Source organism: Homo sapiens, chromosome 21 (assembly GCF_000001405.40).
Source record: "Homo sapiens chromosome 21, GRCh38.p14 Primary Assembly".
Taxonomy (NCBI): Eukaryota; Metazoa; Chordata; class Mammalia; order Primates; family Hominidae; genus Homo; species Homo sapiens.
The window spans coordinates 46,063,504-46,080,021 of NC_000021.9; the positions used below are offsets into that span (position 1 = coordinate 46,063,504).

Genomic DNA, 16,518 nt, shown 5'->3' on the forward strand with positions numbered 1-16,518 from the left:
GGCAGCCTGTGATTGGCTGAAGCTTGGCTGCTGTGATTGACTGAAACTCGGATACTTGTTAAAAGAATACCAGAAGCCCCTCAACTTACAGTAAGGTTATGGCCCAATAAATGCATCATAAGTAGAAAAAATCATGAGTCAAAAAATGCATTTAATGCCCCAATAAACCCATTGAAAAACAAAAAAAAATCATAAACCAGTGTCAGGGATCACTTGAACATGCTTAGTTAGGTTGCAGCTTGTTTACATCCTGAGGTAGGTTGCAGTTCACTACATATGGGGGCAGCTTCAGGCCAAACTTAATTTAACAGCACCCATAACCCACCCTGGGAGCCCGCATGTGCCCACAGCCCCACAGAGGTCCTCTGACCCCAAATATGCCCAACAAGAGGCTAGGCAGCCTGGACCTGTCACCTGAAGGGGAAGCCAGATCCTCCCCACCCAGAGAGGCCAGAAGTTCAGTGCCTGTCCAAGTCACCTGCACCCACCGGGAGGGAGCCCTGCCCTTCAGAAGTCACAGGGACCTGGCACCAGGGGCCCCGTAAAGCCCAGCAGCATCTGGGGTGTGGGTTCCACTCGCTGGTTGTGGAAACTGCAGGGGATGCTGAGGGTCCTGCCAGCCCTGCCCGGAGCCCGTCCAGGATCAGTGCCTGTGCAGTAGTCACGCCTGCCATCTCCGCTGCCTCTACTCACGCTGATTTCATCGGACTCGAGAGAAAGGGGGGCCACAGCAGCGTTTTCACAATAGCTAAAAGGTGGAAGCAATCCACGTGTCCCCAGTGGATGAATGGATAAAGAAAACGTGTCTATCCATGCAACGGAGTATCATTCAGACGTGAAAAAGGACGAAGTCCTGACGCGTGCTACAACGTGGATGAGCCCGAGACGAGTTCTGCTGAGCGAAGGAATCCAGACACAAACGGCTCCTGTTGTAGGATTCATTTATACGACTTGGTCAGCATAGGCAGATCCACAGAGACAGAAGGCAGGCTGGGAGGTGCCAGGGGCTGGAGGACTGAGGAACGGGCAGGGGGGCATCTACTTCACGAGGGCGAGGTTTCCTCTTGGGGAAATGAAATGTTCTGGAACTGGACCGAGGTGGGGGTTGCACAGCACTGTGAAAGTACTAAATGCGGCTGAACTGTACACTTTTAAAAAGGTTAAAATAATGGATCCTGAATTTTATCTCAATTAGGAAGGAAGGAAGTGAGGAAGGGAGGGAGGACGGAAGGAAAGGAGGAAGAGAGGAAGGGAGGGAGGGAGGAGGGAAGAAGGAAGGAAGGAAGGGATGGAGGGATGGAGGGAGGGAGGGAGGGGGAGAGAGGCTGTTCGGGTCTCTCGTGGTGGGCACCTGACGCCTGTCATCTGAGAGTGCTCTGCTCCCCTGGGAGGCATGGAGGATGGCACTGGGGGGTGCTTGAGAGATGGAATAAACACGCCAAGGCCCAGAGGGGCCACCCAGCTGCTTTACAGGGAGGCAAGAGCCAGGGACTGCCCAGGTGACCGGCCAGCAGCAGGGCCGAGTCCCGCCTGTGTCATGCTTGCCTGGCCCTGTGTGCGGCGCCCCTTCCTCCGGGCCTGGTTGAGGGGAGACGGCCTCACCCCACTGCTTGGGAGTGCGCTGGCAGTGCCTGCAGCTCCTCCACCCTCGACGTGGGCGCTGCGGGATGAACTGGAGGTTGCATCTGGCTGTGGGCCTTTTCCTTAAGTTCACAGCCTCCACCTTTCCGCCCGATTGCTGATGCTCAGTGTGCTGATGGGACCTTCCCTCCCACTCATAACCACCTAGAATGCAGCCGGTGTCTCCCTGCGGCTGGTGGTGTTTCAGAGCTAACAGTCCGCACAATGTGTCACTGGCCCTGGCCGTTACTCCATGCGGAGCCACCACTCCTGGCCCCTTTCCCCATGGAAAAGCCAGCTCCTCTCCTCCTTCCTGTGGACACCGGGCGGGGGCCGGAGGGGCCACCAGCAAAACAGAGCGCGCTGGGACTGGGGCGTGGCCGACTGTGTCTCTTCCATGCTCTCAGATACTTTGGAAGTCAGTTTGGATTTTTGTGGAAACTTTATTTTTTTTACTTTCCCTCTCGTTTCTCTGGTAACCTCAAAAACAAACACACACAGCTGTGTCACCTGGCTCCCTGCTACATTTTTCCAGCAGACACCTAGGGCTTGGACTCCAGAGGTCCAGGCGCCAAGCTCACTCTCTGTTAACCCCTCCTGTCCCGCTCAGGCCACACCCCAGCCCTGCCACAGAGCTGGGTGGGAAACGCCTCTTCCAGGGCCCCGGGGAGAAGGAACCGGGGCTGCTGCCTCCACCCGCAGAAGAGGTTTCTCCCCAGACCTTTCTAGCAGAAAATGAAACAAACAGGAAACAGCCCTGCTTCCGCACCAGGCTGAAGACCCCTGTCTCTAGAAGTCACAGAATGTGTTGCTGGAAAGGCAGGAGCCTTTATTCCAGCCTTCTCGTTGCAAAATTAGGACTCCAGGAGCAAAGAGAAGGCCGCACAGTGAATGGGTGGCAGAGCCAGAACGGGGAACCCTCATTCCTGGACCGCCTCCTGCCTGACCTTCCCGCCTTGCAGCCCCTGAGAACAGCAGCGCCTGTGCGGCCGGAGGCCCCCGGGACCCAGGGCGGCTGCTTCTCCAATTCCTTTCCTGCTGACTTGTTCTATTTTTGTTCTAAACAAAGAATTCCATGTTTCTACCCGGTTTTGAATCCCAAATATATACTGTGACAACACAAATTTCCTAACACATACAGCGTTATCAGCCAAGTTCCCTGCCCTTCATTAATTCACCAAATGGTTGTTCAGCACGTACTGAGAGCAAAGCGCTGTGTTGGGGGCCGGGGGAAGGAGGCCTGGTGTGAGCCCTGCTCTCCGACAAGGCGATGCAGAGACAAGTCGGTGCACAGTGCAGGCCACAGCGCGTGGCTCACGGGTGTGCATGGAAAGCCACCACCCTCCGTGGCGTTCTGCAGGAGAATATCTGTTGCTTTGGCCTCTCAGCAAACACAATTTAGTATTTACATCCTTATTCTCACACCCAAAGGAAACAAAAATATGAAACAATTATGAAAATCTCCAGGTGTCCACCAGGCTTTGCAAGCACAGCCGTTGCTCCCAGCTACGTGGCTGCACCGACGCTGGCCACGGTTCAGCCACTCTGGGTCTCTGCTGGAGGGAAGGACGGCGGACTCAAGCTATCCCGTTGTTCTCTAAGCAACCTTATCTTAGGGAGCACCAGCCATACGTTAGATGAGGGTGTAGACACAGATAATAGACAGTGCTTCACAGCTTATAGGAAGGTTAGGGGAGAGAATTTCAAGCAAAATAATCATTTGAAAAGCAACTTCTAACTCTCCCATCCAGGAGCCCTTTAGAAACGTATCTAGGCTAGCAATTCCCCACCCTCTTTAAAAATGCGTGCGGGCTGGGAGCCAGAGGGAAGGCTGAGCTGCCGCCCAGAAGCTGCCCTGCCTTCGTGGAAGTGAGAAGCCAGCAGGAGCAGCTGGGGGCTGTCTGCAAGGCTCCCTCCTGCAAGAGACCCAGGCCCAGGACACAGGGCCAGAGGGAGGGGACTGTTGGGCCATAGACCCCGACGCCCCTGTCTCTGTGGAGGTGGGTCGCTGGGGCCACGGCCGCAGCTGGGGGCTCCAGAATGTCCAGCCACAGAGTCTCCGCTCCTGTGCAGGCTCTCAGCTCCCGCCCTGCATGCTGGATTGTAACCCATGTGGCCTCGCCGCCGCAGGCTGGAGCGTAACCCGACACAAACTCGGGGTCAGTCTTTCCCTTCATCTGGCTGAAAAGGAGCTCGGCTGGGAACGTCCTTCAGTCCCAGACAGGCCCCTCTCAGTTCCAGCATCACCCTAAAAATGAGGCACTTAGACAGAGACCTCCCTCAAAAACACTGAATGAAGAAAATCACTGGAATTCATTTTTTAAATACTGCCCCTCAGAAGAAAAAAGACAAGAGGTGCTAGCTCAGGCCCTTCCAGAAGCAGAGGCCGGATGGGCCTGGATGCGGAGCGTCTGGGGAGGAAGAGGAAGGGAGCCGGGGAAGCAGAGAGTTCGGTGGGAGTGGGGCCTGGGACTCCAGCTCAGGTGGGGGAGCTCAGACAGGCCAACAGTGTTCTCGAGCTCAGCTCAGCACTGCAAGGGGTCCCGTGTGTCCCAGGAACGGAGCTGGGAGCACGCGGCCAGGCCCACTGAGGTGGAGGAGCTGGGAGCTGCCCATCATTCCACTCCCTGCGTACCGCACTCCCCGCTGTCTCACTCGCTCCCCTGGGCATTGGCCAGAGCCACTTCGAGGCTCTCACCGGCCTCTCCTCCCTGCCAGGGGTCTCGGGGCCACAACTGATGCACGTCCCTCCCTCCATTCCGAATCCCCCCACCCGCAGCAGCTATCACCCGGGCAAGTCTCAATGGCTCCCCTGGGGCATGGCTCAAGCCCTGTGGCCAGTACAAGGGGGCACGGGGCACCAGGCGAGACGCCTGGGTTTCACACACGTGCCCCCGGCCAATGCCTCCTGCCAAGACGGTGACTTCCCTTCTTACCTGCTGGTCCTGGGACATAAGGAGTCCAAAGTGCCCTGGCAGCAGATAGAACACCGGGTCTAAGGACACCGGGTCTAAGGGGACTCGGAGGACAAGACCGTCAACCCCGCAGAGATCAGAGGTGCAGGGCAGGAAGCACCACATTCTTCCAGGACTGCTGGGAGTGACCGGAGTGGGCATTTCCGCTCCCAGCCTTGGGTTCCTGGACCCATCAATTCTTCCTGATGGGATGCAGCACATACAAGCGCCTGATTCTGCACAGACACTGCACCCTGAAGGAGCCATCCGCCCCCCTGCAAGCCCCACTCTAGTCGGGGACCCCAATGACATTGTAGTCTCTGAGTAACAGATTCAGACTCTGCGTCCAGTTGTCTTCACATGTCTGAACCTCCTCCTTTCCGTCTACAGCCACCAAGTTAAATAACAGCGGATAATTTTCTTCCTGCCCATCGACCCATCTGCGTGTGTGTGCATGCATGCATGTGTGTGTGTGTGTGCATGTGTGTGCATGTGTGCCTGGGTGTGTGCACGTGCATGTGTGTGCATGTGTGCCTGGGTGTGTGCACGTGCATGTGTGTGTGCACGTGTGTGTGTGCGTGTGTGTGCGTGTGCGCATGTGCCTGGGGGAGTGTGTCTGTGTGCATGTGTGTGTATGCACGTGTGCCTGGGTGTGTGTGTGCACGTGTGCCTGGGTGTGTGTGCACGCATGTGTGCATGTGCCTAGGTGTGTGCATGTGTGCCTGGGTGTGTGTGTGTGCACGCCTGTGTGAGCATGTGTGCCTGGGTGTGTGTGCATGTGTGTGCAAGTCCATGTGTGTGCATGTGCATGTGTGTACGTGTGTGTGCATGTGCCTGTGTGTGTGTGCATGTGTGCCTGGGTGTGTGTGGGTGTGTGCGCATGTGCCTGGGGGAGTGTGTCTGTGTGCATGTGTGTGTATGCACATGTGCCTGGGTGTGTGTGTCTGTGCATGTCCCTGGGTGTGTGTGCATGCATGTGTGCATGTGCACACGTGTGTGCATGTGTGTGCATGTGTGCCTGGGTGTGTGTGCACGCCTGTGTGAGCATGTGTGCCTGAATGTGTGTGCATGTGTGTGCAAGTTCATGTGTGTGCCTGTGTGCATGTGTGCCTGTGTGTACGTGTGTGTGCCAGTCCATGTGTGTGCATGTGTGCATGTGTGCCCGTGTGTGTGTGCGTGTGTGTGTGCGCATGTGTGTCTGGGTGTGTGCGCGTGTGTGCGTGTGCGTGTGTGCGTGCCTGGGTGTGTGTGCACACGCATGTGTGTGCATGTGTGCCTGTGTGTGTGCACTCGTGTGTGAGCATGTGTGCCTGGGTGTGTGTGCATGTGTGTGCAAGTCCATGTGTGTGCTTGTGTGCCTGTGTGCCTGTGTGTGTGTGCATGTGCGTGTGTGTGCATGTGTGTCTGGGTGTGTGCATGTGCGTGTGTGTGCATGTGTGCCTGGGTGTGTGTGTATGCACACACATGTATATGCATGTGTGACTGGGTGTGTGTGCATTGTGGGGGTGGGGGGAGTGCTGAACGTGCCTTCGCAGTGACAACTCCAACTCTAAGTCGGTACCACAGGGCTCATTCTCGCCTTCCTTCCCTGTGTGTCTAACGCTTCCTCTCCAGTCAGGAGAAACCTGCTTCATGCCACCCACCGTCTCCTTACTGATCTGTTCGACCCTGGAATTCACGTGAAGCATTTTCAGAATTGTACCTCGTGAGAAACAAATGAATCCAGAAAGTCAACCAGAGGGTGATGCAGCACATGGTGGCTCGGAGCACACAGCCTCTCCGAGGCCATCACAGACGCACTGGTGTGGGGGGCTCCCCTCAGACCCTCAGCGATGGCACTTTCTGTAGGCCGCAGAGGTAGGGGCCGCAGAGCCAAGCTTGCTAGCATCCATGGGACGCTGAGGCCCCAAATAATAGAGACCAGATGGCAGCGCTTACCCCCAGGGCCGAGCTGAGGGGGCGGCCAGAGGCGCTTGGCCTGCAGGGAGCCGTGGAGGCTGGCGGAGCACGGCACCCTGGGAAAGGTGGCAGGGGCAAGAGGGTCACACAGGTCATAGGCCAGCCCAGCGGGCAGGGCCCTGCACGTCCTTCTCACTGGCACCTCTGCAGGACCCGAGAGGGGGCATGGCCCAGAAAAGGTGTTCAATAATTGTTGTCTGAGTGTGTAATAAAGGAACAAATGAATGATTGGAAAATTCACAGACTGCTTCCCCGACTACATGGAGGGAAAAGGGTAACCATTTGGTACATGGTAAAGTTCAAGCATCAGAAATGCCGGATTAAATTGAATAAATGTGCCAACGATTAATTCAGTGGCTTCAAGAATTAATGCCCAAAAGGCCAGGCACGGTGGTTCATGCCTATAATTCCAGCACTTTGGGAGGCTGAGGCTGGTGGATCACTTGAGGTGAGGAGTTCAAGACCAGCCTGGCCAACATGGTGAAACCCCATGTTTAACTTACTACTTAAAAAATACAAAAATTAGCCGGGTGTGATGATGCACACTTGCAATCCCAGCTTCTTGGGAGGCTGAGGCACGAGAATCACTTGAACCCAGCAGGCAGAGGTTGCAGTGCGCCGAGATCGCGCCACTGCACTCCAGCCTGGGCAACAGAGTGAAACTCAGTCTCAAAAAAAAAAAAAGAAAAGAAAAAGAAAAAAAGAAATTAGTGCCTGAAGGAGTTAGCAAGGACCCCTCCAAAGCCCGCCTTTCTCTTGGCCACTCATGTGCGCTCTCAGCATGTCCAGAAGCTCCTGCATTTCTTCGTCTGCAACAGAAGGCTGGCTTGCTGATCGACTGATTGACAACTTCTTTAAAAGCAGAGCCTCCAGTCATCTTTCAGATGGCTCATTGTGGGCCGTGTCTTTTTAGGTTGGCGGCACCCTTCTTTTTTAAAAGTACACCTGTTGGTGGAAAGTTAACACTCTTTGAGGACTGGATGAGCTTGTATTTCGCTAAGGCGCTGTGGATTTGGAAGCAAGAAGGTGCCAGGGCTGTGCAGGTGAACCTGCTCTGCGATTCCATGAAAGAGCAACTGCCCCAAATACCTTCCCTGCCACAGGCCTGAACGCCTTCATCCTCAGTGTGAACCCCTCTCGGGACCGAAGGCACTGATAACATGGGCATCTGCTCCCTGGGTGGGCTTGCACGCCTCTGCAGGGTCTCTCGTTAACGAGAGACCCTGAGAACCTGGCACCTGGGAGGAAGGCATGGATTTCCGTGGGTGTGGCTCACGCTAGGTGGTGGTGAAGCCCTGCAGAGTCAAGAGAGGACAAGAGGACAAGTGCGTGGAGGAACCCACAGAGGAGGGGCAGGAGCCAAACTCTCCATGAGCCCCTGGACCCCCGAGCAGCTGAGATCACAGCGCTCCAGCCAACAAAAGGCAAGCAGTGACGTGAAGAGAGCCCTGGAGTCAGAGTGAGAAGTCCTGGGCTCTGGCCACAGCTCTGCCCACTTGTGAACATGATTTTTGTAAGTTCATGAATAGAAGGAGAGGAATTTTCTTAGTCTGCTTGTGTTGCTATAACAAAATACCTGAGACTGGGTAATTTATCAATAACAAAACTTTATTTTCTCACAGCTCTGGAGGCTGGGAAGTCCAACATCAAGGCCCCTGCAAGTTCAGTGAATGGGCAAAGGCCCATTTCTCATGGAAGGTGCTGCCTGGGGGTCCTCACACGGTGGGAAGAATGAAAAGGGGAAAAGGGACAAGTGCCACGTCCTCAGATGGCAGCAGAAAAGCAAAAGGCACACGCAGGCTCCCCCCGCCCTTTTATAAGGCGCTAACCTGCTCATGGTGGTGGAGAAGGCCTCACCTCTTCATACGCCAAAATGAAGATTAACTTTCTTTTTTTCCCCAAAAAGCATAGTTCTTACTGATACACAGTCCTAACCACTTGAGTGGTGGGTGAAGTGGGAGAGGATCTCTTTTGAATCATAATGCGGCTTCACTGTTACCAAATACGCAGGCTGGTGGCATCACAGATGTATAAACCAGTGACAATGTTTAGTTTCTGCTAGAATGACAAGGTGAGCGTCAGCCTCTGCTTCTGTAAGTATCCTGAATTTAGGATTTGCAGCTGTAATCTCTCCAACTTTTCTTTCTGATGATTTGAAACCAATGGATAGCACGGTAGACAGGCAGGTAATTGCAGTTACCACTGTCTGTTCAGGCCGGGCACAGTGGCTCATGCCTGTAATCCCAGCACTTTGGAAGGCCAAGGCAGGCATCTAGGAGGAAGGCATGGATTTACGTGTGTGTGGCCCATGCTGGGTGTGGTGGTGAAGGAAGTGGTGAGGTCAGGAGTTCGAGACCAGCTTGGCCAGCATGGTGAAGCCCCGTCTCTACTAAAATTACAAAAATTAGCATGGTGGCATGGCATACAGGCATGGTGGCACATTCCTGTAATCCAAGCTACTTGGGAGGTTCCAGGGAGGCAGAGGTTGCAGTCAGCAGAGATTGCGCCACTGCACTCCAGCCTGGGTGACAGAGTGAGACTCTGTCTCAAAAAAAAAAAAAAAAAAGATATGCCAAGCAAATAGAAATTATAAGAAAGTTGGAGGTGCAACTTTAATGTCAGGCAAAGTGGACCCAGGACAAACAATATCATAAGGAATAAAGAAGAAAGATAAAGAAGTCAACTCGTCAAGAAGACAGCATCTGAAATGAATATTCACCAAATGCGAAATTCTCAACATCCATGAATTAAAAACGGACAGAACTGAAAAGAGAAATGGATTAATCCACAATTATAATACTTATAATGGCGATTTCAACCCCCTTTCAGTAACTGTTAGAACACATAGGCATTAGAGTTAATCAAAAAGTCAATAATTATTCATCTAAAAGTCAACATTTTGAAGACATCCAAATATTCTGAAATCAAGCAATGCACTTCTAAATAATATTTCAGTCAAAGAAATCAAAAGAAAATTTAAAAATATTTTTTACTGAAAGAAAGTAATATTTTTAATGTCAAAATAAAAGGTATACCTAAAACAGTGTTTGGAGAAAAACACACAGCCTTATGTGCTTGTATTAAAAAAGGAGAAAAGTCTAAAATCAAGGATATAGGTTTCTACTTAAGAAGCTAGAGAAAGTAAAAGTAAATCAAAAGCTAAGTAGAAAGATGGAAATTAAAAAAGAAAAGAGTGGATATCAAGGAAACTGACCAAAAAAATGGAGAAAACCAATTAAATCAAAGCTGGTTTATTGAAAATGTCAATAAAATTAATAAGTATCTAGATAGATTGATCAAGATAAGAAAAAAGAAAAAACACAAATTACCAATATGAGGACTAAACTGGAGCACAGCACTACAGATCTTACAGATGTTAAAAGGATCATAAGGAAATATTATATTATAAAGACCTCAAAATTGACAACTTAGAAGAAATGGAAAAATTCATTAAAAGACACAAATTACCAAATTGGATAAGGGAAATAATAGAAAGTCTGAATATAGCTATAGACTAAAAGAAATTAAAATTATTACCAAAACCTTCCAAAATGGAAACTCCAGGCCCAGATGGCTCCTGGATGAATTCTATCAAATATTGAGGAAGTAATAATGCCGATCTTCACGAAAGCTGTCAGAAAATAGAAAAATTTCCAACTCATTTTTTGATGCCAATATACTAGTCTTCAAAACAGACAGTTGTCTTTTTGGGTTTTTTTTTTTTTTTTTTTTTGAGACAGGGTCTCACTCTGTCACTCAGGCTGGAGTGCAGTGGCATGATGACAGCTCACTGCAGCCTCAACCTCCCAGGCGCAAACGATCCTTCCACCTCAGCCTCCCCAGTAGCTGGGACTCTAGGCACGAAACCACCATGCCCAGCTAATTTTTTTTTGTTATCACTTGTTTGTAGAGACAGGGTTTCACCATGTTCATCAGGCTGGTCTTAAACTCCAGGCTGGTCTTGAACTCCTGGGCTCAAGTGATCCACCCGCCTTGGCCTCCCAAAGTGCTGGGATTACAAGCATAAGCCAGCATGCCCAGCCAAAACAGACAGATTTTAAAAGGAAAGAGACCTGTATGCCAATATCACTCACAAGCCTACAGTTAAAAGTCCTTAACAAAATCAAATTCAGCAATGTATTTTTTAAAATTCATCATGATCAAATGGGATAGATCCCAGAAATGCTAGACTCATTTAATATTAAAAACCAAATAATACAATTCACCATATTAATATAAATTTTTTTAAGACAGAGTCTCACTCTGTTTCCCAGGCTGAGGTAGAGTGGCGTGATCTCGGCTCACTGCAACCTCTGCTTCCCTGATTCAAGCAATTCTCCTGCCTCAGCCTCCCGAGTAGCTGAGATTACAGGTGCCTGCCACCACCCCTGGCTAATTTTTGTATTTTTAGTAGAGATGGGGTTTCACCATGTTGGCCAGGCTGGTCTTGAACTCCTTACCTCAAGTGATCCACCCACCTCAGCCTCCCAAAGTGCTGGGATTTAAAGATGTGGGCCACAGTGCCAGGCCTATAATGATTTTTAAAAAACATATGATCATCTCAGATTTCTCTACATCTATAGAAAAAGCATTTGTCAAAATCCAATAGCTGTTTATCATAAAAACTATTAGAAATCAGAAATAGGGAAACTCTTCAAACCTGACAAAGAATATCTATGAAAAGCTTATAGCTAATATCAATTTAATGAGAAAGGTTAAATCTTTCCTCTTAAGGAGCAGTGCAGTGGTGAATACTCTCCCCACTTCTCTTCAATGGCATATGCAGAGCCCTGGCCTAAGCCCAGACTTTTTATGAGAAAAATAAATAAAAGGCATACAAATTGGGAAGAAAGATGTAAGACTGATTGTCTTTATACACAGACAACATGATTGCGTATCTAGAAAACTTAGGAAACCCAAAAAGCTACTAGAACTGACATTTGAATGTAGCAAAGTCACAGAATACAAGATCAATGAACAGTCAGAAATTATAATTTATGAACTACAATTTATGATAGTATCAAATAACAATAAATGCTTAGGGATAAATTTAACATTTGGATCTCCAAGTGTAGTGGCTCCTCACACCTATAATCCCAGCACGTTTGGAAGCTTAGGTGAGTCCAGTTCAAGAGCAGCCTGGGCAACTTGGAAGGACAGCCTGTCTCACCACTCCTATTCAACATAGTATTGGAAGTTCTGGCCAGGGCAATCAGGCAAGAGAAAGAAATAAAGGTATTCAAATAGGAAGAGAGAAAGTCAAATTGTCTTTGTTCACAGATGACATGATCCTATATCTAGAAAACCCCATCGTCTCAGCCCAAAAGTTTCTTAAGCTGATAAGCAACTTTAGCAAAGTCTCAGGACACAAAATCAATATGCAGAAATCGCAAGCATTCCTATACACCAAAAACAGACAAGCAGAGAGCCAAATCATGAGTGAACTCCCACTCACAATTGCTACAAAGGGAATAAAATACCTAGGAATACAGCTATCAAGGGAAGCGAAGGACTTCTTCAAGGAGAACTACAAACCACTGCTCAAGGAAATCAGAGAGGACACAAACAAATGGGAAAACATTCCATGCTCATGGATAGGAAGAACCAATATCGTGAAAATGGCAAGTAATGTATAGATTCAATGTTATTCCCGTTAAACTACTATTGACATTCTTCACAGAATTAATTAGATGAAACTATTTTACGATTCATATGGAACCAAAAAAGAGTTCTTATAGCCAAGACTATCTTAAACAAAAAGAACAAAGCTGGAGGCATCACACTGTTGGACTTCAAATTATGCTACAAGGCTATAGTAACCAAAACAGCATGATACTGCTAAAAACAACAACAAAAAAACAAACAAACAACAAACAAAAAAACAGACACACAGACCAGTGGAACAGAATTGAGAACTGAGAAATAAGACCACACATCTACAACTATCTGATCTTTGACAAACCTGACAAAAACAAGCAATAGGGAAAGGATTTCCTATTTAATAAATGGTGCTGGGAAAACTAGCTAGCCATATGCAGAAAATTGATACTGGGCCCCTTCCTTACACCTTATACAAAAATTAACTCAAGATAGATTAAAGACTTAAATGTAAAACCCAAAACTATAAAAACCCTAGAAGAAAATCTAGGCAATGCCATTCAGGACATAGGCACAAAGATTTCATGATGAAAATATCAAAAGCAATTGCAACAAAAGCAAAAATTTATAAATGGGATCTAACTAAAGAGCTTCTGCACAGCAAAAGAAACTATCATCAGAGCAAACAGTCAATCTACAGAATGGGAGAGCATTTTTGCCATCTATCCATCTGGCAAAGGCCTAATACCCAGAATCTACAAAGAACTTAAACAAATTACAAGAAAAAAGCAAACAAGCCCATTAAAATGCAGGCAAAGGACATGAACAGACACTTCTCAAAAGAAGACATACATGCAGGCAACAAACATATGAAAAAAAGCTCAACATCACTGGTCATTACAGAAATGCAAATCAAAACTATGATGAGATACCATCTCACACCAGTCAGAATGGCGATTATTAATAAGTCAAGAAACAACAGATGCTGGCGAGGCTGTGGAGAAATAGGAATACTTTTACACTGTTGGTGGGAATGTAAATTAGTTCAACCATTGTGGAAGACAGTGTGGTGATTCCTCAAAGATCTAGAACCAGAAGTGCTATTTGACCCAGCAATCCCATTACTGGGTATATACCCAAAGGATTATAAATCATTCTATTATAAAGATACAGCACGCATATGTTCATTGCAGCATTATTCACAATAGCAAAGACATGGAATCAACCCGAATGTTCATCCATGATAGAGTGGATAAAGAAAATGTGGTACATATAGACCATGGAATACTATGCAGCCATAAAAAGGAATAAGATCATGTCCTTTGCAGGGACGTGGATAGAGCTGGAAGCCGTGATCCTCAGCAAACCAACGCAGGAACAGAAAACCAAACACCGCATGTTCTCACTTATAAGTGGGAGCTGAACAATGAGAACACATGGACACAGGGAGGGAAACGACACGCACTGGGGCCTGTCAGGGTGTGGGGTTGGGGGAGGGAGAGCATTAGGAAAAGAGCTAATGTGTGCTGGGCTTCATACCTAGGTGATGGGTTGGTAGGTGCAGCAAACCACCATGGCACACGTTCACCTATGTAACAAACCTGCACATCCTGCACATGTACCCCAGAACTTAAAATAAAAAAAATACTCTTAGCTTCTGTGTGTGTTTCTGTGTGTCTGTATCGTCTCCTCTTCTTACATGGACACCAGCCATTAGATTAGGGCCACCTAATCCCATAGAGCTACAGGACACAGGACGTCCTGGTTCCTGGAGCATTGACTGTAAGTCAGACGTTATGTAATACAATTCTCTCTTCACAAAGAGAAACGGATAAAATGTGTCTACTTTGTCATTTTGGATTGGAGAAGAGAACGTCCATGGCTCTTTGAATGAATGAACCATTTCACCAAGTCTCAGTGGCCCCAAGAATCCTTAATAAATACCCTACTGCTGGTTCCCCCGTGCTGGGGTGGGGCAGATGAGTAGCGTAGCACCGAGAGCTCATGGTCCTTCTCAGGACAGTGGTTTCAGACACTGGGTAAGGGTGTGTCTGAAACGCACAAGTGTGTCCCTGCTTCTAGGGAGTCCCCAGAACACAGCAGGCACCCGCACAGACCTTCCACACGGATGGCTCACTCTTCTCCACGCACCAGTAAAGATCACCCAGCCAGGAGGACTGGACTTGGCCCTGGGACACCTGGTGGTCTCCTGCTTCGGTCTGGATGCCCCCGTGAAGTCGTAAAGGCCCCCAGGTGGACCCAAGGAAAGCGGGGAGGAGAGGGCTTCCTCGTGGGGCTCCAGAAACCAGGCACTCGGGCCCCTGCCTCTGCGAGACGTGTTCACTCATTTTGCGGGGTCCCCAGTCTCTGCAAAGCACAGCACCGACGCAAGGCTGGTCTCTCTGCTTCGCAGGACTCGGTGGTGACATGGGCCGATGGTGGAGGTGCAGGCACCACGGCCTTCCTGCTCCCCACTGGGGTGGAACCTGCAAAGCTCCTTCGTTGAAGTGGTCACTCCCAGTACCTTGGAATGTGACTTATTTGGAGACAGGGTGTTTGAGAGGCCCTGAAGTAAAAGGAAGCCATCGGGGTAGCCCTAATCCAATCCGACTGGCATCCACATAAGGAGAGGAGATGAGACACAGACATTCCCAGAGGGAGGACCACATAATGACATGGAGGAGACGCCATCTGCCCACGATTCCTGTCCCTGGAGCATTGCAGTGAGGCCGGTGTGGGGCAGCCTCAGGGGCGTCCACACCAGGTGAGACGGGGGGTCCAGAGAGACGACGGGCTTGAGGGGTCCTCACCCTGCACCTGCAGCACCAAAAACTCACCGAGGCCCTCAGGGTCCTCCTTCCCGCACCAGCGGTTCTCTTGCACTTTCTCCTCACTCGGGACTCAAGGGGCCACCCAGAGCAGCCACCGCAGGCGCCCTGCATGGCTAGAGGGGCCGCCAGGGTCCATGCTCCCGGAGCCTTCTCAGCTCCAATGCAGAAAGCGTGGGAAAGAAAGACGTATTCCGGGGTTTGTGCATCACAGGCTTAGGCTCTGAGGGGAGTGGAAGTACCAGGGCGGAGAGGAACCTTCAGCAAAGATCCCACGTGGCAGAGGCTGAGCTGGAGAGGGTGACCTCAGCAGGGAAGTGAGGAGAGCACAGAGCAGCCAACCAGTTCCTGGCAGCTTTGGGACCGTGTCTTCTGGGGACTGTGGCCAGGTTCAGGCTCAGCCCTCACCCTTGGTGGTGACTCCGAGGCCGGCAGAGCCCCAAGTCAGCCTGTCCTGGGCAGGCACAAGGGTCCCACAGCAGGGTCACCCGGAGTCCCCAAGCTGGGCACCCTAAGGGGTGTCACCAGAGGAAACACTTGGGTCTGTGGCTGAGGCTGAGGACCTGGCTGGGCAGAGGCCCCCATGGCCTTCATGCCTCTGAGAAAGGGTCAGAAAACTCCTGATGATGGAGGTTAAACAGCCGTGGTCCCTGGGGCATGGAGGCCTGAATGCCACTGAGCCAAGTTATGTGGAAACAAGGAAGGCAGCATCCAGCACCACTGCCCATGGGAGACTGTGGGCGTGACCAGGTCCTGCAGGGTTGCAGAGGATGCCCAGGGGACCGGCAGCCCGGGGCTTGCAGGAGGGACCCCAGGCCCACTGAGCTGCAACTTATCAATTAAACCCAAGGATTCAGGCCACGTGGTCCCAGATGTGAAGTCGAGCCCCAAAGCCACTATCAGACTTTGGGATCCCAGCCAGGTCACCGGCCTCCCTGCTCCCGGCTCCCTCCTGGTCCAACATGGACTGGGGGTCTGAGGAGTCCACGAAGCTATGTGCTCGCTGCTCAGACACTCACCCCCACACGTGCTGTCACTGGCGGCTGGGCTCATAATTGGAAACAGACCCATGTGACTCAGAGGAAGCCAGCACTGCCCCAGCTCACGCAGGCCCTCCTCGGAGCTTTAACAAGGGGCTAGCTTCCTGTGAGCCCCACTGTGTCCCACTGACATGTCAGCCACACCGCTGAGTTCATCCAGCCAGGGTGTCTTGGAAGGTTCTGTTCCCACGCACGTAGCCAACAGCACCAGGCTACACACACACGTGTGGACACACATACACACACACACATGTGCGCACACACATCCACACGCACATGCACACACACGTGCATGCACATACACACCCACACACGTGCACACACACGCGTGTACACTCGTACACGCACATGGACACACACACGTACACACATACACATGCACACATCCGTGGACACACACACACACATGCACACATGCGCACACACACGCACACGCACATCGAGCTCCCATCAGCCCCTCGCGGCCACCCAGGACACAGGATCACAGTGAGCTGCAGTGACCACTCAGGGCTCCCAACG

At 50.4% G+C, this 16,518-nt stretch overlaps 1 pseudogene, besides 2 other annotated features; it reads right to left on the minus strand.

Moving 5' to 3' along the window:
* Nucleotides 2,314-2,929: an enhancer, noted in NCBI's record as "H3K4me1 hESC enhancer chr21:47485731-47486346 (GRCh37/hg19 assembly coordinates)". NCBI's record gives its function as "activates a minimal SCP1, AML or CMV promoter by ChIP-STARR-seq in primed H9 embryonic stem cells {active_cell/tissue: H9 hESC(primed)}" and the evidence as "EXISTENCE:reporter gene assay evidence [ECO:0000049][PMID:30033119]".
* Nucleotides 2,930-3,543: an enhancer, noted in NCBI's record as "H3K4me1 hESC enhancer chr21:47486347-47486960 (GRCh37/hg19 assembly coordinates)". NCBI's record gives its function as "activates a minimal SCP1, AML or CMV promoter by ChIP-STARR-seq in primed H9 embryonic stem cells {active_cell/tissue: H9 hESC(primed)}" and the evidence as "EXISTENCE:reporter gene assay evidence [ECO:0000049][PMID:30033119]".
* PSMA6P3 (proteasome subunit alpha 6 pseudogene 3) lies at nt 8,582-8,745 on the minus strand (annotated as a pseudogene).